Source organism: Homo sapiens, chromosome 2 (assembly GCF_000001405.40).
Source record: "Homo sapiens chromosome 2, GRCh38.p14 Primary Assembly".
In the NCBI taxonomy this organism is placed as follows: domain Eukaryota; kingdom Metazoa; phylum Chordata; class Mammalia; order Primates; family Hominidae; genus Homo; species Homo sapiens.
Window position 1 is genome coordinate 49174729 of NC_000002.12, and position 24188 is coordinate 49198916.

Genomic DNA, 24188 nt, shown 5'->3' on the forward strand with positions numbered 1-24188 from the left:
TCCATGTGGACATTTACATTTGTTTTTATAAATGTTATTTTCACTAAATGAAAGTCAAATGATGTCAGGGAGTGATGCATTAATGAAAGTATCACAGGAAGAAACGTGATGGGAGAGCTGAGCCATCAGAGGGCACAAGGACAGACATGCCTGTCAAATTCACAATATGCTTCTGCACAGGCGCTCCAAAATTGTGCAGACACCCTCTACAGATCCCATCTTTGAACAAGCCAAACTGTCACCGCTCATTCCTTGTAAGCATGGCCAGGCACATGAAATGAGACCTGCTTCTGGCAATCAGGATTTATTTAATGAAAATTTCAATAATGCTGGAATCATAACCTTCTTTTCAAGCAAACAAGACAGCATTACAGAGTTATCAAATGACACTTAATTAAAATTGGCACTTGAAGATTGTTTGTTGGCAATGTTTTGGAAAAATATGAGGTCTATTTGTTGTGAACCAGCAAGCAAAGCTTTGAAATAATTAATAACATACTTATGCTAACAGGCATTATCTGAATTACTGAAGCCAAAATACCAACAAAAATTATTCAGTATAGAACCTGACCTGAGGCTCATCTTTTTCCTATTAAAACCAATACTGAAGATCTAGTTTCAGCAGAACAACATGCTTTATCACAGTGAATTAATGTTTTTAATTTGAATTTTATTGGTCTTATAGCTTAGTTATTACATGTTTTTAATGTATATGTTTGGTTTTGGTTTAATGATTTTAGGAGGAGTTTATAGCTAGTTTTAGTCAGTACTGGAGATCCACAGGAATGTTTTTCTCTTTTAAAGGGATCTGTGTATCATTCAAATTTGGGAGGCACTGGTACAGGGGTTAAGAGCACAGAGTTTAACATCAGACCTGGGTTCAAAACCCAAGCTCTCACACTTAAAAACCGTGTAAACTTGAATGTGTTATTTAATTGAATTGTGTTTCATTTTCCTGATCTGCTAAGATTGATATAATAAAAGCAATAATCATTATCATAATTATAATTACAATGACTTACATCATTGGAATAAATAAAATAATAGCTCCCTAGTATAAAGATCTCTGGCATATAGTAGGTGCTTAATAAAAGTGAGTCATTATCATCATCAACATTTTTTAAACTTTGGTCTGAGAGACCCAAGAGTTGGCACAGCCAGATAAGGAGGTAAGAGATGCAGGAGGAGCAGCTGCTAGGAGTCATTGCTTTCAACAGGAAACGTTTTTTAAGGGTCATTGGACTGCAGCAGCTGCAGGAACTACCATTATCTCTGGAAGCAACTGAGGATGTCTGTCTGTGGACACCTCATTGCCTGGAGGTCCCACCCCTTCTAACAGCACTATAGCATTAGTCACCTCTGGAGAGGAAAGCAGTTGTTGCAGTCCTCGTCTCCTAGACCGATGCCTCCTGAACTGTGTTGACCTCCTTAGCACAGCTCCCTGCTGTGTACTCTCACAGTCACCCCTTGCATCTATCCCTTTGTATGGATTTTCAGGTCTTGGCTCTTGGTTTTCCTCATATTATGTCTGTCGTGGACATTCAAGGGACATCCTAGCCTCATCCATTGTGTTTCCTGGGACCGTTGTGGCTGCCATTCCCTCTGCGTTTCCCCAGAGCCCAAAAGGGGAAGGCAGAGGCTTCCTATGGGAATAAGATGGCTGGTGGGAGGAATTCATGGTGTAAATTACTTTCTCCTGTTGTTTTCCTCCTTTAATGCCTAGGGTTTGTTGAAACGTATCTCGAAGATATATTTCACAGAACTAACAGAGGTCCTGATCAGATTGCCCCGTGGGGTTCCTTCAAACCTAGCCTCCTCCTGCAGTTGCTGCTATCACAAGTTTCTCACATTTGGTTAGGACATCTCAGAGCTACTGCCTAGTGAATCTGGGGAGAGAATGGGGACTGAGGTTGGGTGAATATGAAAGGGCAAAGCTGATCTTGATGGAAAGGAGACAGAATCCTATATGGATGATGGAAAGAGAAGAAAAAGGGTAGCCTGTTTCAGCCTTGCAGACCACATAGAATGTTCACTGTGATTATTATTATTTTTTTTTCAAAACCACTTGCAAACCTGGTTGAACTCCCACCGAAATCCAGCCTGATTCCTTAACATGTGGTCAGTGGTGAGATTTGCTGATGTGGGCATCTGGTTAGAGTTGCATTAACAGGTAGTACACACCCCTCCTCTCTTCCCAAACCGCAAAACTCTACGGACAGATTTTTTTCCTCTTCTTCTTTTTCCTAGAGCATCTCAGAGCCTTTCTGTGTTCCCAAAAGGCATGAATTATTCACCGTATATAGCATCAAGCTTTAAAAAGCTTACTTTTAAGAAAGTAAAACTGCCCAAACCACCCAATAATTTGCTTCTGCCTTCATTTTCATTAACTGAACAACATCTTTAGAATTATTACTCACTTTCCTTCCTGCCATCTTTTTGTTGGTTTGATTCTCTTTTTTACTTCAACACTCCCCCTCCCCCTGTACCACCAAGAATGTAGAGGATTCATCCTTGTCTTGCTTCTGGCATGTCCAGGCCAAGGGTGTGGTTTATACTTGTAGTCAGGTTTCCATGTAAATGTCATCATCTTCATTTTAAATACCTTCCTGACCATACATGGAAAGACAGGATATCTCTCTTGTATAGTATCAGCCCAGCTGCTAATTCTGCTGACAGAAGGTATTGACCACCTACCTGCATCCCTTTAGCATTTCTTAAGATTCAGGAAGCACCTACAGCTTAGGTTTGCATTCCACCACTGCCATCAACTGAAGTAGGGACTTTGGCCAATAGCGGAGTCTTTCTGAGCCCCAGTTTTCTCATCTGCAAAAGATGATAATAATTATCCAGCAGCATGGTGAAGGTTAGAGACACGATGCCTACCCAGCATCACCTAGCATAGAGAAAGTATTTAGTGGTAAAAATAATTTTCTTTTTTTAAATTTTTGTGTTTTTTTGAGGCAAGGTCTTGCTCTGTCACCCAGGCTAGAGTGCAGTGGAATGATCATGGCTCACTGCAGCCTCGACCTCCCAGCCTCAAGCAATCCATCTACCTCAGCATCCTCAGTAGTTGGGACTACAGGCATGAACCACAATGCCTGGCTAATTTTTTAAAGAAAATTTTGTAGAGAGGAGATCTCACTATGGTTGTCCAGGTTGGTCTTGAACTCCTGGGGTCAAGCGATCCTCCTGCCTTGGTCTCCCAAAGTGTTGGGATTACAGGAGTGAGCTACCACATCTGGCCTAAATAATTTTCTTGATCAAGCTGGGTGTAGTGGTATGTACCTATAGTCCCAGCGACCTGGGATGCTGAAGTGGGAGGATCCCTTGAGCCTAGGCCTTCAAGTCCAGTTTGGGCAACACAGTGAGACTCTTTCTCTTAAAACAAAATTGCTTTATTTATTATCCATAGTCCAGATTAATGATATTTTAGCTCCTGGCTTCACCAATTGCAGCCTTCTGATATTAAAAAAGAAAAAAAAAAAACCTGGCATGATCCTTTTGTGTTTGCAACGGGACACAGCATATGCTAAATGCATTTGTAGGTAAATACTAAGACCAAGAGACAGTAGCAACTTGAAAAGAAACCTTATACCTTGAGTGTTAGACGTTCAGGAGCTAATAGTCATCAGATTTGAGTTCAAATTCTGTCTTGGCCACTTAGTTGACCAGGTGACTTTGGGCAATTGATTTCATGTGGGAATCATTTCATCTTCCTAAGCTGATTTTCTCATGTGTGAAATGGGGACCATACAAGCACCTAACCATGTAGGAGTTCAGTCAGGGTGGTAGGTGAAATTATAAAATAGACACAAACCTTCTTGGAAGGCCAGAAGGTTTTGCAAAAGCCTTAAGATAGGGTTATGACTGAAGGCAGCCTACTCTTCTTACCTTGAGCTAATAGCTTAGAGTAGGTACAAAGGAATGTAAGGGAGTTTATCTAAAGAGCTTGTTTACTCATGTGGTCCTAAGACTGGCCTTTGATCATTTGTAGGACTGCTCTCTCTGGGGGGACGGCAACCAGGTTAATTACCCACAGGTGTGTTGATTAAAAGCCTTTGTCATTAAATATGTGCTGAATAAATGCCCACGAAGCCAGCTAGTCAATATGTGTGGCTGCCACAACTCTTTCTGTGAGTGGCCCGGCACCCCTGGCCTGCTCTTTCACTGAATATCGGTGCCTGAGTATGTTACTCATCCATCGTGCAGCCTGCGTCTTCAGGTCAGACCCCGGCATACCCAGGTGCTTTTGTGATGATTAAATAAGATAGTGGATATAAAGTGTTTAGTCCAGTTCTTGACACAGGATAAATGTATGCTTTTAAACTGTGACTTTTACACAGTATGGCTGGCCATTTTGTGTTTTCTCCACAGCTATAGAAAAATGTTGAAAATGTGTGAAGGGGAAAAAGGAAGTGCCACAGGCAAAGTGATCTGATGTTTTCCAGAACAACTTCTTCAGTTTTTTTCTCCTTTTATTATGAAGCATTTAATACAGATAAAATAAGCAACATGTGAGCTATAAATCAGAAGAATAAACATATTACCTAGGAAAATACCTTTCAGGATAGTTACTTAAATCCTTGAAACGTCTGTAATTTTTCTTGATTTCATTTCCCTGCCTTACTCAGAGGTAACCACTATCTTTGACTGTTTGTTTTTATTCCCTTGCTTTTCTTCATAGAATTACCACATACGTATGTATCCATAAACAACATATTGTTTAGTTTTGTTCTTTTTTTGGCTTTATGAAAATGATGTTACACTGTATATATTCCCGTGAAATTTGCTTTTCTCAGAAAACATTTCTTTCTAAGATTCAAATAAGAGTGTCTGCGGCTGCTGTTCTTTTATTTTATTGCTGCATAGTATTCCATTATATGGGTAATCTATGATTAACTATCCTCCTGTCAATGTAGATGTAGAGTGTTTACAGGATTTTTTTGTTATGAATCACCAAAAATATAAACCTGCTGTACATGTTTCCTGTGATTCCTTAAGTTATGCTGTCCAATAGGATAACCACTGGATACGTGGCTATTGAGCATTTGAAATGTGGCAAGTTAGGATTGGTATGTACTCTACATATAAAATACACATCAGCCGTTAAAGACTTAGTACAAAAAATGTAAAATATCTAATTAATATTTTTCATATATTGATTGCATGTTGAAATGATACTTTGGTTGTATTGCGTAAAATTAACTACATTAAATTTATTATTGAGAGTAATTTCACATTTTTTACTATTTTGAATGTGCCTATGGAAATTTTTAAGTTTCTTTTGTGGCTTGTATTAAATTTTTATTGGACAGTGCTGCTTTAGGGTATGGATAATATATTCTTAGGAGTGGAACTTCTGAATCTGAGGGTAATGTAAATCAGTCTTACAAGATGAGGTTAATTTTATTTCCAAATGGTTGTACTAATTTGAATTCTCATTACTAGTGTATAATCCTCATTGCTCCACATTCCTTTCATACTTGGTATTATCTGATTCTTAAATTTTTGTCATATTGGTGATTGCAGATTGAATTTCATTTGTCTTATTTTGAAGTTCTCTGATTAACATTTCAGGTAAATTTTTTTCCCACATATTCCTTAGTCATTTGTTTTTCTTCTTCTGGAAAATGGTTGTTAATATATTTTGACCATTTTTATGTGGGGTTTTGGCCTTTTACTTGTTGAGTTTTTGCAGGTATTTTAAAATGGAATATTTGTTCTAATATTCCTCATAGTTTATGGCTCATATTTTCATTTTCTTCCTGGAATATTTTGATGAGCAGAAGTTCTTTTTTTGTCATTTTTTTAATTATAGTTTAAGTTCTGAGGTACATGTGAAGAATGTGTAGGTTTGTTACATAGGTATACACATGCCATGGGGGTTTGCTGCACCCATCAACCCATCATCTACATTAGGTATTTATCCTAATGCTATCCCTCCCCTAGGCCCCCACCCCTGACAAGCCATGGTGTGTGATGTTCCCCTCCATGGGTGCATGTGTTCTCATTGTTGAACTCCCACTTATGAGTGTGAACACTTGGTGTTTAGTTTTCTGTTCTTGTGTTAGTGTGCTGAGAATGATGGTTTCCAGCTTCATCCATGTCCCTGTAAAGGACCTGAACTCATCCTTTTTTATGGCTGCATAGTATTTGATGGTATATATGTGCCACATTTTTTTTATCAGGTCTCTCATGGATGGGCATTTGGGTTGGTTCCAAGTCTTTGCTATTGTGAATAGTGCTGCAGTAAACATGCGTGTGCATGTGTCTTTATAGTAGAATGATTTATAATCCTTTGGGTATATACCCAGTAATGGGATTGCTGGGTCAAATGGTATTTCTAGTTCTAGATCCTTGAGGAATTGCCACACTGTCGTCCACAATGGTTGAACTAATATACACTCCCACCCACAGTGTAAAAGCATTCTTATTTCTCCACATCTTCTGCAGCATCTGTTGTTTCCTGACTTTTTAAATGATTGCCATTCTGACTTGTGTGAGGTGGTATCTCACTGTAGTTTTGATTTGCATCTCTCTAATGAGCAGGGATGATGAGCTTTTTTCGTATGTTTACTGGCTTCTTTTGAGGAGTGTCCGTTCATGTCCTTTGCCCACTTTTTGATGGGGTTTTTTCTTGTAAATTTGTTTAAGTTCTTTGTAGATTCTAGATATTGGCCATTTGTCAGATGGATAGATTGCAAAAATTTTCTCCCAATCTGTAGGTTTCCTGTTCACTCTGATGATAGTTTCTTTTGCTGTGCAGAAGTTCTTTAGTTTATTCAGATCCCATTTGTCTATTTTGGCTTTTGTTGCCATTGCTTTTGGTGTTTTAGTCATGAAGTCTTTGCCCATGCATATGTCCTGAATGGTATTGCCAAGGTTTTCTTCTAGGGTTTTTATGGTTTTAGGTCTTACATTTAAGTCTTTAATCCATCTTGAGTTAATTTTTGTGTAAGGTGTAAGGAAGGGATCCCGTTTCAGCTTTCCGGATATGGCTAGCCAGTTTTCCTAGCACCATTTATTAAATATGGAATCCTTTCCCCATTGCTTGTTTTTGTCAGGTTTGTGAAAGATCAGATGGTTGTAGATGTGTGGTGTTATTTCTGAGGCCTCTATTCTGTTCCATTGGTCTATATCTCTGTTTTGGTACCAGTCCCATGCTGTTTTGGTGACTGTAGCCTTATAGTATAGTTTGAAGTCAGGTAGTGTGATGCTTCCAGCTTTGTTGTTTTTGCTTAGGACTGTCTTGGCTATGTGGGCTCTTTTTTGGTTCCATATGAAGTTTAAAGTAGTTTTTTCCAATTCTGTGAAGAAAGTCAATGGTAGCTAGACTGGGATAGCATTGAATCTATAAATTACTTTGGACAGTATGGCTATTTTGATGATATTGATTCTTCCTATCCATGAGCATGGAATGTTTTTCCATTTGTTTGTGTCCTCTCTTATTTCGTTGAGCAGTGGTTTGTAGTTCTCCTTGAAGAGGTCCTTCACATCCCTTGTAAGTTGGATTCCTAAATATTTTATTCTCTTTGAAGCAATTGTGAATGGGAGTTCACTCATGATTTGGCTCTTTGTTTGTCTATTATTGGTGTATAGGAATGCTTGTGATTTTTGCACATTGATTTTATATCCTGAGTCTTTGCTGAAGTTGCTTATCAGCTTAAGGTGATTTGGGGATGAGACAAAAGGGTTTTCTAAATATACAAGTACGTCATTTGCAAACAGAGACCATTTGACTTCCTCTTTTCCTAATTGAATACCCTGTGTTTCTTTCACTTGCCTGATTGCCCTGGACAGAACTTCCAATACTACATTGAATAGGAGTGGTGAGAGAGGGCATCCTTGTCTTGTGCCAGTTTTCAAAGGGAATGCTTCCAGTTTTTGCCCATTCAGTATGATATTGGCTGTGGGTTTGTCATAATAGCTCTTATTATTTTGAGATATGTTCCATCAATGCCTCATTTATTGAGAGTTTTTAGCATGAAGGGCTATGGAGTATTGTCGAAGGCCTTTTCTGCATCTATTGAGATAATCATCTGGTTTTTTCATTGGTTCTGTTTATGTGATGGATTACGCTTATTAATTTGCATATGTTGAACCAGCCCTGCATCCCAGGGATAAAGCCGACTTGATCATGGTGGAAAAGCTTTTTGATGTGCTGCTGGATTTGATTTGCCAGTATTTTATTGAGGTTTTTAGCATCGATGTTCATCAGGGATATTGGCCTGAAATATTTTTTATTGTTGTTGTGTCTCTGCCAGGTTTTGGTATCAGGATGATGCTGGCCTCACAAAATGAGTTAGGGAGGATTCCCTCTTTCTCTATTGTTTGGAATAGTTTCAGAAAGAATGGTACCAGCTCCTCTTTCTACCTCTGGTAGAACTTGGCTGTGAATCGTCTGGTCCTGAGCTTTTGTTGGTTGGTAGGCTATTAATTGCTGCCTCAATTTCAGAACTTGTTATTGTTCTATTCAGGGATTCGACTTCTTCCTGGTTTAGTCTTGGGAGGGTGTATATGTCCATGAATTTATCAATTTTTTCTAGATTTTCTAGTTTATTTCCATAGAAGTGTTTATAGTATTCTCTGATGGTGCTTTGTATGTCTGTGGGATTGGTGTTGATATCCCCTTTATCATTTCTTATTGCATCTATTTGATTCTTCTCTCTTTTCTTCTTTATTAGTCTGGCTAGTGGTCTATTTTGTTGATCTTTCCAAAAAGCAGCTCCTGCATTCATTGATTTCTTTGGAGGGTTTTTTGTGTCTCTATCTCCTTCAGTTATGCTCTGATCTTGGTTATTTCTTGCCTTCTGCTAGCTTTTGAATTTGTTTGCTCTTGATTCTCTAGTTCTTTTAATTGTGATGTTAGCGTGTCAATTTTAGATCTTTCCTGCTCTCTCTTGTGGGCATTTAGTGCTATAAATTTCCCTCTACACACTGCTTTAAATGTGTCCCAGAGATTCTGGTACATTGTGTCTTTGTTCTCACTGGTTTCAAAGAACATCTTTATTTCTGCCTTCATCTTGTTATTTACCCAGTAGTCATTCAGGAGCAGGTTGTTCAGTTTCCATGTAGATGTTCGGTTTTGAGTGAGTTTCTTAATCCTGAGTTCTAATTTGATTGCACTGTGGTCTGAGAGACTGTTATGATTTCTGTTCTTTTACATTTTCTGAGGAGTGTTTTACTTCCAATTATGTGGTCAATTTTAGAAAAAGTGTGATGTGATGCTGAGAAGAATGCATATTCTGTTGATTTGGGGTGGAGAGTTCTATAGATGTTTATTAGGTCTGCTTGGTCTATAGCTGAGTTCAAGTCTTGGATATCCTTGGTAATTTTGTGTCTCGTTGATCTATTATTGACACTGGGGTGTTAAAGTCTCCCACTATTATTGTGTGGGAGTCTAAGTCTCTTTGTAGGCCTCTAAGAACTTGCTTTATGAATCTGAGTGCTCCCGTATTGAGTGCATATATATTTAGGATAGTTAGCTCTTCTTGTTGCATTGATCCCTTTACAGTTATGTTATGCCCTTCTTTGTCTCTTTTGATCTTTGTTGGTTTAAAGTCTGTTTTATCAGAGACCAGTATTGCAACCCCTGCTTTTTTTTTTGCTTTCCATTTGCTTGGTAGATCTTCCTCCATCCCTTTATTTTGAGCCTCTGTGTGTCTTTGCAAGTGAGATGGGTCTCCTGAATAGATCACACCAATGGTTCGTGACTCTTTATCCAATTTGTCAGCCTGTGTCTTTTAATTGAGGCATTTAGCCCATTTACATTTAAGGTTAATATTGTTATGTGTGAATTTGATCCTGCCATTGTGATGCTAGCTGGTTATTTTGTCCGTTAGTTGATGCAGTTTCTTCATAGTGTTGATGGTCTTTACAATTTGGTATGCTTTTGCAGTAGCTGGTAGTGGTTGTTCCTTTCCATGTTTAGTGCTTCCTTCAGGAACTCTCGTAGGACAGGCTTGGTGGTGACAAAATCTCTTAGCATTTCCTTATCTGTAAAGGATTTTATTTCTCCTTCACTTATGAAGCTTAGTTTGGCTGGATATGAAATTCTGGGTTGAAAATTCTTTTGTTTAAGAATGTTCAATATGGGCCTCCACTCTCTTCTGTCTTGTAGGGTTTCTGCTGAGGGATCTGCTGTTAGTCTGATGGGCTTCCCTTTGTGGGTAACCTGACCTTTCTCTCTGGCTGCCCTTAACATTTTTTTCTCCATTTCACCCTTGGTGAATCTGACAATTATATGTCTTGAGGTTGCTCTTCTTGAGGAGTATCTTTATGGTGTTCTCTGTATTTCCTGAATTTGAATGTTGGCCTGCCTTGCTAGGTTGGGATAGTTCTCCTGGATGATATCCTGCAGAGTGTTTTCCAACTTGGTTCCATTCTCCCCATCACTTTCAGGTACACCAGTCAAAAGTAGATTTGGTCTTTTCACATAGTCCCATATTTCTTGGAGGCTTTGTTCTTTTCACTCTTTTTTTTCGAATCTTGTCTTCTCACTTTATTTCATTGAGTTGATCTTCAATGTCTGATATTCTTTCTTCCACTATCAATTCGGCTAATGATACTTGTGTATGCTTCACGAAGTTCTCATGCTGCGTTTTTTAGCTCTATCAGGTCATTTATGTTCTTCTCTGAACTGGTCATTCTAGTTAGCGATTTTTCTAAACTTTTTCAAGGTTCTTAGCTTCCTTGCATTGGGTTAGAACATGCTCCTTAACTCGGAGGAATTTGTTATTACCCACCTTCTGAAGCTTACTTTTGCCAATTCGTCGAACTCATTCTCCATCCAGTTTTGTTCCCTTGCTGGCAAGGAGTTGTGATCCTTTGGAGGAGAAGAGCCGTTCTGGTTTTTGGAATTTTCATCCTTTTTGCGCTGGTTTATCCCCATCTTCATGGATTTATCTACCTTTGGTCTTTGAAGTCGGTGCCCTTCAGATGGGGTCTCTGAGTGGATGTCCTTTTTTGTTGATGTTGATACTATTCCTTTTTGTTTGTTAGTTTTCCTTTTAAAAGTCAGGACCCTCTGCTGCAGGTCTGCTGGAGTTTGCTGGAAGTCCACTCCAGACCCTGTTTGCCTGGGTATCACCAGTGGAGGCTGCAGAATAACAAAGACTGCTGCTTGTTCCTACCTCTGGAAGCTTCGTTCCAGAGTGGCACCCACCAGATGCCAGCCAGAGCTCTCCTGTATGAGGTGTCTGTCAGCCCCTACTGGGAGGTATCTCCTAGTCAGGATACACAAGGGTCAGGGATCCACTTGAGGTGGCAGTCTGTCCCTTATTAGAGCTCCAATGCTGTGCTTGTAGATCCGCTGCTGTCTTCAGAGCTGCCAGGTAGGGACATTTAAGTCTGCTGAAGCTGTGCCCACAACCGCCCCTTCCCCCAGGTGCTCTGTCCCAGGGATGTGGGAGTTTCATGTATAAGTCCCTGACTGGGGCTGCTGCCTTTTTTTCAGAGATGCCCTGCCCAGAGAGGCAGTCTGGCCACAGGGGTGTTGCTGAGTTGGGGCGGGATCCGCCCAGTTCGAACTTCCTGGCAGCTTTGTTTACACTGTGAGGGTGAAACCGTCTACTCAAGCCTTAGCAATGGCGGACGTGCTTTCCTCCACCAAGCTTGAGCGTCCCAGGTCCATCTTAGACTGCTGCTGTGCTGGCAGCAAGAATTTCAAGCCAGTGGATCTTAGCTTGCTGGGCTCTCTGGGGGTGGGACATGTCTGGTTACTCCTTAGTCAGCATTACTACTTCTTCCTTAGCTTCCTACCCCTACTAGTGAGTTGGCCCCAAAATCAATCCTTGAATCTCTTCTTTTCTGTCTACACTCACACTCTGGATGATGTCACCGAGTTGCACATTTACTGATGACTGTCAAATATATAATTTCTAACTGTGCCCCTCCCCTGAACTCCAGATTTGTTTATCGGACTGCCTACATGATGTCTCTCCTGCATGTCTAATTGACATCCAAAAGTTGACCTGTCCAAAATGGAGCTTCTCTTCCTCCCACAGCCTCTCCTTTTAGGAAATAGCAATCCATCTTTCTGGCTGTTTGGACCAAAAAACCTTGGCATCTTGCTTGACTTTAATAGTGTGCATCCAGTCCGTCAGCAAATCCCACGGACTCTACTTCACAGTAAATCCAGAACCCAGCCATTTCTCATCACTTTGACTGCTACCACCAAGTTCCAAGCTGCTGTGATTTCTCACTTAGTTTTGTAATAGCTCCCTAACTTGTCTCCTGGCATTTGTTTTGCCTCTTCAGTCCATTGGCAGCATAAATGTCAGAGTGGTATTTTGAAAATACAAATCAGGCCAAATTCTCTTCCAATGTAATCCTTTCTCACTCATAGTAAAAAATGAACATTTCTTATAATATCTTTGGGGTCCACCTGATCTGGCATCCCATATCTCTCAGACCTTATTGCCCGCTATGCTCCTTCAGGATCATTCTGCTTTAGCTACATCACCCACCTTGGTGAAACAATCTAGGCATCCATCAATCCCAGGCCCTTCTTATTTCCTCTTTTGTCTGCCTGGAATGCTATCCCTCCAGGTACCACATGGCTCCCTCCGTGACCTCTTCCGGGTCTTTGCTGAAATCTGTCTTTCTCCATGCCCTACCTATCTAAAATTGATACTCTTTCCCACTCTACTCCCTTTCCTCATTTATAGTTTTATTTATTCTCGTTATTATTTATCATAATCTAATATACTATATGCTTTACTTATTTATTATCTGTCTTCTTCCAGCAGAATATAAGGTCCATGAGGTAGTGGTCTCTGTTAACATTTGTAAAGATTCCATGTGTGCCTGAAAACAAAGTGTTAGTTACAACATTCTTCATATTCATATTCTTCATTCTTCATATTCATTAATTAAGCTTTCTAATATTTAAATCTTCGCTATGCTTACTAATTTTTGGTCTGTTTGATTTATACATCAATGAGGATGTTAGTATCTCCCACAAATGGAAGAATTTGCCAGTTTTTCCTTATAGTTCCTTTAGTTTTTGTGCTACATATTTTGAGATATCTTAGGGTAATGCAAGTTTAGAATTATTACATCTCTCAGGAAAACTGAACCTTTTTTTTTCATTATGGTGTAAACTTTAACTCTGGTTTTACATGTATTTGTGGGAAAGCCTATTTTGACTGGTATGATATAGATATACCAGATAGATATCTAGGTTAATTTGCCTACTATGTTTATTTCGTCTCTTTATTTAAACATTTCTGCTTCTTTATTGTGAGGCTTGTTTCATCTAAAGCGTGTATATTCCTTGAATTTTTATAATCAAATCTGACAGTTCATGCCATTTACCCGGAGTTCAGTCTATTTTCATCTACTGCAATTTCTAAAATATTTTGATTTATTTTTACCACCTCATTTTTAAGCTTTCTATTTGTGTCCCTCTCTGTGTCTCAGATTTTCCTCCTTTTTTTTCTTTGAATCAATTTATTTCCCCGTATTCCATTATCTACTCTTCCTCATACATATTTGGAAGAGATATACTCTCCTTCTATTTTTAATTAAAAAAATTTAACATCCACACTTCTTATACTTAAATATAAATTAAGAGTTTTTCCTTCCCTTCAAAAATATAAAAATTATAGAATATTCTATTTATTTTAAGATAAATTTGTAGAAAGAATGCATGGACTGTAAGAGGGATATGCAGCAATAAGAAGGTTCGGCACTCACTCTGTCTCCTACATCTCTTTCATATTTTTCTCCATAGAATTTATCATCACTTGACTTTGTCATTTGCTTATTGGCTGCCTTTCTCCTCTAACATGCAAATTTCACAGGGACAAAATTTTTTAACAGTTTGTTTACTCTTGTTTACTCAATGCATCAAATAGTTCCTGCTTATAGTAAGTGCTCAGCAAATAAAGTTACTTTTATGAATGCTTCAATTGCAAACACACACTTCAGGCCTGCGTGATATTGTTGCTTAGCCTTTTAAACTCTTTTATTTATTCTTAACGTCACTAATTACATCCCTTAGAAGCTTTAGTATAGGTCTGTGGATAGCAAAGTCTCCGGAGGCACCTACTCAAGTGATGCAGGAACTTGAATATCTGGAAGGAGGGATGAGGAGCTGGACAGTAGTGCTATGGGAGTCACAAACAAAACAGGACAGTGGGAACCAAACTTCTGTGATAGTGCTAGTACTTTAACACCTCCTGGAGGAGGTGCCCATAGAAACCCCTGTTACAGCTGTATTTCTGACTGTATTTGTATTTGAATTTTTGGCCCCACAGATCCTATGGCATTGCTCACTAAGCCTTTATTCTCCTTGGCTGTCAGAACGCCATCAAATACCCATCAGTTGGCTCTGGCAAGAAAGCTTGTTTATTCAAATAGCAAAGAAGAAAAAAATCTCTTGCTGCCTCTCCCTCCCCCACTTGTTTTCTCCATGTCTACTTACTTGTTTCTCAAACGTAGGGAGAGGGATAGGCTTGCCTTCCCCAGCACCCCCTTAAGGTCCTGAAACTACTTCTAAAAGGGGAGGTCCAGTGGCTAAATACATTTGCATAGTTCACAGAGTTAGAATTTTGGAAATTGCCTGTTTTTTATTTTCATTTTAAAATTTTTATTCTTCCAGTCTCTGCTTGTCAGCATGACTCCTGATATTTCTTTCTGTGGCAGGCTGCATTTGAACAAGGCAAAGAAACAAAGTAGTGTGGTCAATGAACCACATGTTTACAACCTTTTGCAGAAATGGCTGTATCTTTGGGTGTTTCTTTCCTTGGGGGCTACTACTGCTGCCTAATCCCCTCTGACAATTGAACTCTTAAGAATTATTTCCCAGGTCTTAGTTGTGAGAGTCAAGGAGGTAGCCAAGGTTGTCTAGGCAATCCGCACCTAGCTTTATAACTAAACGATTGTTTGCATCTTCAGAGCTGCTTCTAAACTCAAGGAAGGAAAGCACTCATAATTTATCTGAGTGTTAAGAGTCGAAGTTCATTGAGTCATAGAGTATTTCAACATTCAGATTGATACTCTGGCAGTGGATATCCTACCTCCTGGGAAGTGGGAAACAGAAGAGAGAGTGCTCTCCTTCCCTGACCACTTTGCCTTGCTTTTGTGTATGCATATGCAGTTCCTTCCCTAGTCATTTGGTTCCAGGATGTTCCAGAAGGAAGAAATATCAGAAGCCATTATGCATTTAATTTTTCTCTTTTATTTAAGAAAATTCAATTTTGTTACACTCAGAATAAAAGAAACAACTACATGAGGTGGAGATGAGACTAATTATAGATAGTAAGTAAGCAAATAGCTGTGAGTCATAGAGGAAACTCAAAAATGTGCTGACCATGGATAGTAAGTTAGTAACTTGAGAGGCACAGTAGACCTAGCTAGAATTTGTAGAACTTTTTTGGAATATAGATCAAAATGATGGAACAAAAAAGAGTGTGACTTGTTGATAGACGATGGTGGAAAGCAAAGTAAATGTCAAAAATCCCCAAAGCACAAATTATGTCACCTCCAGATTGATAACTATGCCATATCTGAACTGCCACGTACCTCTATTCTGGCCCATGTGTCCTCTGTCCAAGACACACACTCTTAACTGCTTAGAGTGCTATTGGCCACTTACTATGTAGCCAAATAAAAAATTGGCTGGGAGTTAGTTTTAGCAAGAAAAAGTCATCACTCTCCATTGTCTCTTTTCTTTGTTTTTTAGCCCCCAAATGGTTATTATAATACTCAGTTTCATTGTGTTTCCTTCCCTATCTCATCAGTAAGGAGTTTGCAGAGGGAGTCTCTGGAGTCAAGATAAATAGGAGACTGGGAGTTCTATAAGGCTAAACATACATTATGTGAAAGTTGTGGATGTTAGATATGAGGTCCTCAAAAACAAATCTGTTCATGCCTGCTTTGTCTAGCTCAGCAAAGAGTTGTGGACTATTGTTGAGGGGTTGGTCTACTCTGATGTCCTCTTTTCTCTGGAAATTGTTCTTTCTCCACTATATTCTGTGATCCTAGTAGGATTTTCTATCATAGCACCCAGTCTCACTGGCCATTGGGATAGACATGTGACCAAGACCAGCAATTTCCTTATAGTATCCATAGTGCCTGGCTTAACTGCCTCTGCATTTATGAACGGAAAACTACGAACTGAGGTTTGGCTCTCCTGTCTTAGAAGACATCACTGTCTACAGAAGGAGGGAATAAAATCAGAGAAGGTAGGTTTAAGAGCTGGATGTACAAGTAAATGATCATATCAGCATCAACTTCTTAGGCTAGTTCTCATTGGTCCCAGAGCTTCCCTTCTTCCCTTAGTGACACTTTTGTTTCTGTGAGCCCATCCAGTCTAATGGGACAATAAGGCCCTTTTAGTGTGAGCCACTTTCTGTTGAGTTTCTGTTACATAATATACATTCCTGAAAAAATAGAAATCACTCATTAGAAGTAGGGTGTCATCAGGCCCTAGAATTCGGAATTGTTTGACTTTGGGTGGTGTATGATTGACAGGATTGCCTTCTTGTGGGTTGGGAAAATGGGATTATTGTTACATGATCCCATACCAGATGGTTGAATGCTTGCCTTTCATCTCTTGTTGTCATATACCAATTAAACATACCAAGACAGAGCCATTAAGGACTTGGGAAACAATTGTAAGTTTATTAGAGGGTGTTGGTTTTTTTCTTAGTTAATATGGGAGTCTAAGTAAAGAAAAAAGTCTTATTACTAGCTGACATGACTAAAACTATAAAAGGAATAGCATTCAGTATTGTTGGGATAAGCCCTTTCCACTTGTCACCAGCATCCTTCTTGGTCCTGTCCAAACTCCATCTCCTGCATGAAGTGTTTCCTAACTACTCTAGCCCACACATTCATTTCTTTATGGGTTAATTCTTCAAATATTTACTTTGCACCTACTGTGCATCAGAAATTGGGCAAGGTGCCAGACATTTCTACTGACTCTATTGTTTCTAGGACATAAGTCTTTTAATAACACAGTTTATTTACTGATGTTTCCATTGAAGAACATAATGAAACCTGAAATCAGTGGCAGCTGAATGAAGGAGCTCTGGCCTTGTGATAGTCTGTTAATACGAAAGAACCACAAAAAGCGAGATCCACATTGGGCAACATTCATTGAGTACCTACTATGCAAATTTGACAAGACTTCTGCCCTTGGGGAGGGAGTTCTTAGATTCTGGGAGAATTGTTAGAGTCGCACATAGGGGTCATTGTGAATTATCAGGAAAAGTGGCTTCTGGGTTTCTCTTCCCAGGGATTATATATTCATTCTCTCCTAAAAGGAAATCAGGCCAAGGAACCGATGATATATTCTGAACATTTGGGCAAATGCCAAAGCTACCAAATCACCTTGTGAACAGGAAGAAACCTTTTCTGCTGCTGAATAAACTTTCTTTGTGGGGTTGGTATTCAAATCTCTCTCTATTACACATTTCCTAGTTCTCTGTGTTCTTAAAATAAGATTAGCAAGAGTCAATTCCAATGGCCAAATAAATTTGTAAGTTTACTATGTTATTCATTCATTAGTTTGTTCATCAAGTATTTATTAACTTATGCTGTGTAGCAAGTTGTTTGCCAGGTGAACCATAGACAGCATAGAACTGAAAGTGAGGAAACTTAAATGACCGATCCTGTTTTGCAGCTGAGTGACTGTGTGACCCTGGGTGAATCATGAAAATGCTTTGAATCTCAATTTATTTATCTGCACTTCACAACTACATAATTAGGCAGGAACATGCATGAAATAGATATCTGTGAGTTCAAAATGATATAAATAAATGGTCAAATAAATAGGGAAAGGAGCAGATTAACTTCAAGTACATGTAGAAAGACTAAGATACGATTATCATTAGATGATTGCTGCATACAAGATCCACAAGTAAATGCTGAAACGTTACACAGGATATTTGGATAGCCTCAAAGTATCTCCCCCAAATATTCATTAAATAGATTGGTGGTTTTAACGTGTCTACAGATTCTTTCACAGTCCTCCTTTCAGGAGGTGGGCCTTAATCCCCCTTTCCTATAATGTTTGCTGGGCTCAGACTTTTTCTAACAAAGGACATAGGAAAAGATACCACTTTTAGGTGGAGAAATCCAGCAGACACCACCGTAAGCAAGTGATCACAGTTAACGTCACCAGTACTGTCATAGTGACATTGTGTAGCCCCTGAAGAAGAAGGCTTCATTAATGCAATGAATAAGATAAATTACTTTTGTGGTATTTTTCCCCAAAATCCATAACCCCAGTCTAATCATGAGAAACCATCAGACAAATCCAAATTGAGGGGCATTCTGCAAATACCCAACTAGTTCTTTTCAAAGGTGTCACCAGCATGAAAAATAAAAGCTAAGAAATTGCCACAGATTGGAGAAGATTAAAGAAAATGCAATGTGGAATTCTCTATTGACTCCTAGAACAGACAAAGGATTAGTGGAAACTAGAAAATTTTGTGAAATCTGAATAAAGTCTATAGTTTAACAGTCCAGCATCAGTATTAATTTCTTAGTTTTGATAAATATTTCTTAGTTACATAAGATGTTAATATTGGGGGAAGCAGGGTGAAGGGTCGATGTGAATTCTCTGAACTATTTTTGCAACTTTTCTGGAAATCTAAATCTATATCAAAATAAAAAGTTTTAAAAATATTGTATCTTACAAAGTTGTTTAAGGAACCACTTCAATAATATTTGAAAATGCCTAGAAAAGATCTAGTATCATACTTACATATAAAAAAATTTTTATTTTTCTCATGGGGAAATGGAAAGAGTGGACAGTAGGGATGGCTGCTGGAAGGTGTAAGAGATGAAGGAAAATATTTTAAGTGACATTCTTAAAAGGTCCAAAATCATTTTCTAACTCCTGCTTTTTAGAATGTCAGCTCCATGAAGGGAGATGGTTTTATTTGTTTTGTTCAGGGCTGTATACATAGCAAGTACAGCAATCATCTAATGATAATCTTATTATTGGAACAGTGCCTGGCACATAGCAAGTGTTCCATACACATTGTTGAAGAATAAATGAATGAATTAATTAATGCTGGTCTATATCGGTCACCAGGTGAGGCAGTGTTGGAATGTGGTGATAGCAGTGAGGAGAGATTATAAACCCACCAAATCATGCTTAGGATGTGGGAGAATAACCCCAATCTTAGTCTGTTTGGTAGGGGTGAGGGGTGAGGTTAAGATCAGAGCAAGATGAGGGTTATCAAAAGCAGGGAGTGTGGGTGAGTGAGATGTTTTGGGAGAACCCGGATTAAAAACACCCAGAAGAAAAAAGAACCATTAAAATACAGGACTTGAGGTGACCCAGCATCTGGAGCAGCTTTCAGGACCTTTGGCCTTTTTCAGAAGTCAGACTGCTCCTTACCAAGGTCTCAGTTCCTCTAGATGAGTTGAGTCTCAAGAGTATTCTCCCCTCCACAGAAGAGCCCACTGACTGGAAGTATGGAAAAACTGCTACCTGAATATAAACAAAACACCCTCGTTACAATTAGACAGTGATATGCCCAAGTACACAATACCCTTTATCCCAGTACAATCAGGAATATGGATTTCCACCCCAGAATGGGTTCCAGTTCCTCAAAGAAAGCATCTTCCACACTCATTTGGGGACAAGGTAGAGGGTATATTTCACCGGCCTTCAAGTAGTTGTCTAAATTGTAGAGACTGCCATGTTCTTTCAGAGTTGGGATATGGTGTTTAGTATAGCAAAACAAAGTGCAGGCAGGAGGAATAAAAGCAGAGTCCTGAGTCTTAGGCAGGCAGTTTCTTAATTGCAGGGAACATTTCAACCGTGTTTTCTAGTTCATGACTGTTTACCAGGACTGGGGAGCTCATTCTGCAGGTCAGCCACTTGTTGGGTCCTGGCGGTTGTGTTTCTTAGAGAGGGAGACTCCGTCCCCCACAGAGACCATGGCAAGGCCACAGTGGCTTTTGGTACCATTATCAGAGGCCCCACAGAATGCTGTATCAGCAGCTCTCTCTCCATTTATGTAACACAGAAGAATTAGTTCTTTCCTTGCCTTCTTTAGATTGATTTAATTTCCCAGGCTGAGCTCCATAATGTAAGCTAAGGCCTGCTTCAAGGCCTATGACCATTAATGTTGAGTTGCAGTTTCCAGCAGAAAGTTTTTCTGAGAGTTGGTAGCTCAGCTGTTTCATTTCATAATGGGTGGGAATGTGGCAGGCGGGCTGTCAAACCTGATGCAAATGATATTTTATAAAAAGTGGTTTAAATTGGCTGAAGCTGTTTTTAGACTGATCAGTTAAAAAATATGTAGGGCATCTTTCTGACTTGCAGGAACACAGCTCCCAAGAATTAGATTTTTCATCACATACTTTGAGAGAGGTTTGTAGGTGGGCACAGGCTCATCAGAAAAAGCAGATGAGGACTTGTTAATATGGGAACATGTAAATTGGGTTCAAGCTGCCCTCAGTTAATTGGAAGGGATATGTGAGCTAAGAAGGGAGGAAAGGAAAGCCATATTGGAAGGAATACACTTAATGCCCTAGAGAAATAAGCCTTGTTCTTTGTTCTCCCCAGGCTATTAGAACAGTTGCAGGAATTCTGCCCCAAGACACAGAGGCAGTGTTTTTAGCTCCTGGGACTACAATTGCTGTCATTTTCAGCAGGACCTGAAGAAGCAAGTGATATTTTGACCCTTGATAAACAGATTTCAGGAGCAGCAGCCAGCAACTGTGGAAGGTTAGCTTTCTGAGTTTTGCAAAGACTAGTGCTCTTGAGATTAGACAAGCAGAAATTCAAAATTCCACTGAGAAACTTAGGAATTTATTTATTAATTATATTTTTTGAGACAGAGTCTCAGTCTGTTGCCTAGGCTGAAATGCAATGGTGCAATCTCAGCTCACTGTAACCTCTGCCTCCCGGGTTCAAGTGATTCTCCTACCTCAGCCTCCCAAGTAGCTGAGATTACAGGCACCCGCCACCATGCCCGGCTAATTTCTGTATCTTTTAGTAGAGATGGGGTTTCACCATGTTGTACAGGCTGGTCTCAAACTCCTGACCTCAGGTGATCCACTCACCTCGGCCTCCCAAGGTGCTAGGATTATAGACGTGAGCCACTGTGCCCGGCCTGGAATTTGTTTTATATTAATATCGGAGCTATCTAAATGACTTTCTTCTCCTCCTTTCTACTCAAATCCTACTTTCAGCCATTTTCCTGGGTCTGGGCCAGTCTAGATGCAGCAAGCATGGTTTCTTCTCTGGTGCTGTGCTGGGGTTTTGTCCCTGCCAACTCAGGAGACATGCTCCTGAACCGAATGCGTCTATTGCTTTGCCACTCTTGTCAAGTCTGTGGAATTCGGCTCTTAGGACCCCATCTCTCGTATATAAATTTAGATGAGATGCAAAATATTGTACATATATACATTTGGCTTCACATAAAGTAAATGTTGGAAGTTTGTGTGGAAATGGTTAATATGTAAATGTCTACAAAATCTGCCTCCTCCTTCCTACTCTCAGAAATTCTGTGTTGTTTTATTTGGGATTGCTCTGCTTCTTTTTTGGATTCTTTTTAGGACTTAGGGGTTGAAGAATTTGGGAGGCAGGGGAAGAGAGGACCAGAGGGAGATAAAACTACAGTTTTAAGGGTGGCTTCAGGTGGTTTTGAGGAGAGGTGTGAGAGCAGGTGCAGTGTGTACAGCTTGCAGACTGGAGAGGAAGTTTTTAATTTAAAACGTTTAAGAAATGTTGCTATTGATTAAAATCTTTTGCAATGTTAGGTGTTAAAGAAAAATACAAACATTAGAGCTGAACTACTTTTATACTATTTTGGTTGCATGGACTATGTTTTTGTTTTTAACTGCAATCCCATTTTGATGCCAAGCCATGTGGATCACAGCATTATAAGCATGATATTTGTTTTAACTAGTTGGCTAATCCACGTGTATCATGTCCATGTGTCTACTCTCTTCCTTCATCCGTCCACTCTCTTCCTTCCTTCAACTTATGTTAGGCAGAATATAAGTTGTGGTTTGAGACCTAGAGAAAGGAGAAATTCATTTGGGAACATAAAAGATGAGAACAATTTATAGAAGTTTTGGTTGTCCACTATGATGGTAACCATGGGTGCAACAAGAATTGGAAGAAAGGCTCAAACAAGAGCTTCAGTAGATCCTGTTTGCTGCCATAGCTGATCTCATATCTGTTTAGCATTGCAGTGTATCCAAATGCTGGCCTCAGCCTTCCTGACCTTTCTTCATGTTCTATTGCAATACTCTTACTTGCTTCCTTCAGGTTGTTCTCTCTCATCCTTGCACTTCTTCCTCAGTTCTGGTTACGTACCTGTCTTGGCTCAGGCTATCACCATCACTTGGAAATATATTCTCAAGAATGTAAGCTCTTATGATCTATGAAACTTTTTCAGGTTCCCAAGTCCCAGGACCTTTCTATATTCATCGGACTCCTTTAAAGTACTCTTTATTTTGCACAGTTTAATAATTAGAATCATAAGATGTGAGAGTTGAAGGGGTCCTTACAGACCATATCTAGCCATCTCCTTTCATTTGTCAGATGAGACAACTGAGCTTTGGTGACAGGGTGTTACTCACGTTAGATCGTATGCTTGGAATATATGTTAACATGTTTGTTTATAAACTGAAAGTTGCTATAGAAATAGTAGTTAGTACTCTTTGAGTGGCAGAGCGGCATCTAGAAGCCAAGTCCCCTGACTCCTTTCTGCACTATCTGTTATATCAAGCTGCCTCTACTAAATTGCTGTCATTCTGTGTAAGCCTTGTCTGCCCAGTTTGTAGTGAGAGAACATGTAAAAGGAAGCCTCATCTAGCACCTACCATGTAACAACCACATTTATTACCAATACTCTGTCAGATAATGTATCATTCTTATTTTTACAAATGAGGACACTAAACTTCAGAGAGGTTTAAACTTTTTCCCAAGGAGACACAGAAATCTGAAGACTCAGCATTCAGCTCCAGACTTGTGTAACTCAAAAGCAGTGTGTCTCCTTTTTCTTTCGTCTTTATCATGCCTCTTGAGGTCAAGATGATTTTTTTCCTTTTGTTTCTCTCAATATTTATGCCATCTTAGACCACAACATACGATTAACCTCAATATTCTACTTCATCAGTGTCTGAGTCCTCCATAGGAAGTCTCTATGAACCTTTTCTTTTTTTCAATGAACAATTTCCAAGGAGGATCCATTTCACAAATTCTAACAATCCATAATCATTTTAAAAATCATGATCAGATTAAAAGAACATGTGCTATGGCTCTCTGGAGAAAGATGTGAGAATTTGGCTCATGCTTTGTACTCTTTAGTTGAAAGTTACTCTTGAAATATAAAGGACAATTCATCTTAGTTTATAATGGGTGAATTCTGCATGATGATTGACAAGCACAAAAATGAGTTCAGGAGTTTTAACAGCTCAAACTGATTTGAAGATGAGTGGCTACCTGCTCCATCACAAGAGCGTAGATGCTGACAGCCTCCCTTCTGGACAGTGCATAAATGTCAATGACCCGGGAATGGTGGGCTTTGGTCAGCTCAAGGGGTTTCCTGCTTTCCAGTGTTTTCTTTTCTTTTCTTTTTTTGAGACAGAGTCTCACTCTGTTGCCCAGGCTGGAGTGCAGTGGTGCAATCTCTGCTTGCTGCAACCTTTGCCTCCTGGGTTTAAGCGATTCTCCTGCCTCAGCTTCCCGAGTAGCTGGGATTACAGGCATGTGCCACCACACTCAGCTAACTTTTGTAATCTTAGTAAAGATGAGGTTTTGCCATGTTGGCCAGGCTGGTCTCAAACTCCTGACCTCGGGTGATCCTCCCTCCTCAGCCTCCCAAAGTGCTGGGATTACAGGTGTGAGCCACGACGTCTGGCCTCCAGTATCATTTTCCTCTTTTTCAGAGGACCTTCTTACTGAGCCTGGACATTTTTTTCTCTGGATCCGCCCAGTTGGCTTCATGAGATGAGATGCCCCACGTGACACCTTATGCTGAGGCAGCCCTAAGAAAGTATTAATGCTTCTGTTCTAGAAGAAACCTACACTTTAAGAGGGGTGTTAGAGATAATGCCTTTAACCCTAAAGTGTGAATGTAATTTCGGATTCTTGGTAGAATGAGAGGCTAGTGAGAAGGTTGTTTTTGGATGAGTATATAATTAAGTAAGTGGGGAAAGGGAAGGAACATATATTTTAGGCCATAGTAGCCATTGTGTACTGC

At 39.5% G+C, this 24188-nt stretch overlaps 1 annotated feature.

The window, feature by feature from the left end:
* Nucleotides 968-1469: an enhancer, noted in NCBI's record as "H3K27ac hESC enhancer chr2:49402835-49403336 (GRCh37/hg19 assembly coordinates)". NCBI's record gives its function as "activates a minimal SCP1, AML or CMV promoter by ChIP-STARR-seq in naive H9 embryonic stem cells {active_cell/tissue: H9 hESC(naive)}" and the evidence as "EXISTENCE:reporter gene assay evidence [ECO:0000049][PMID:30033119]".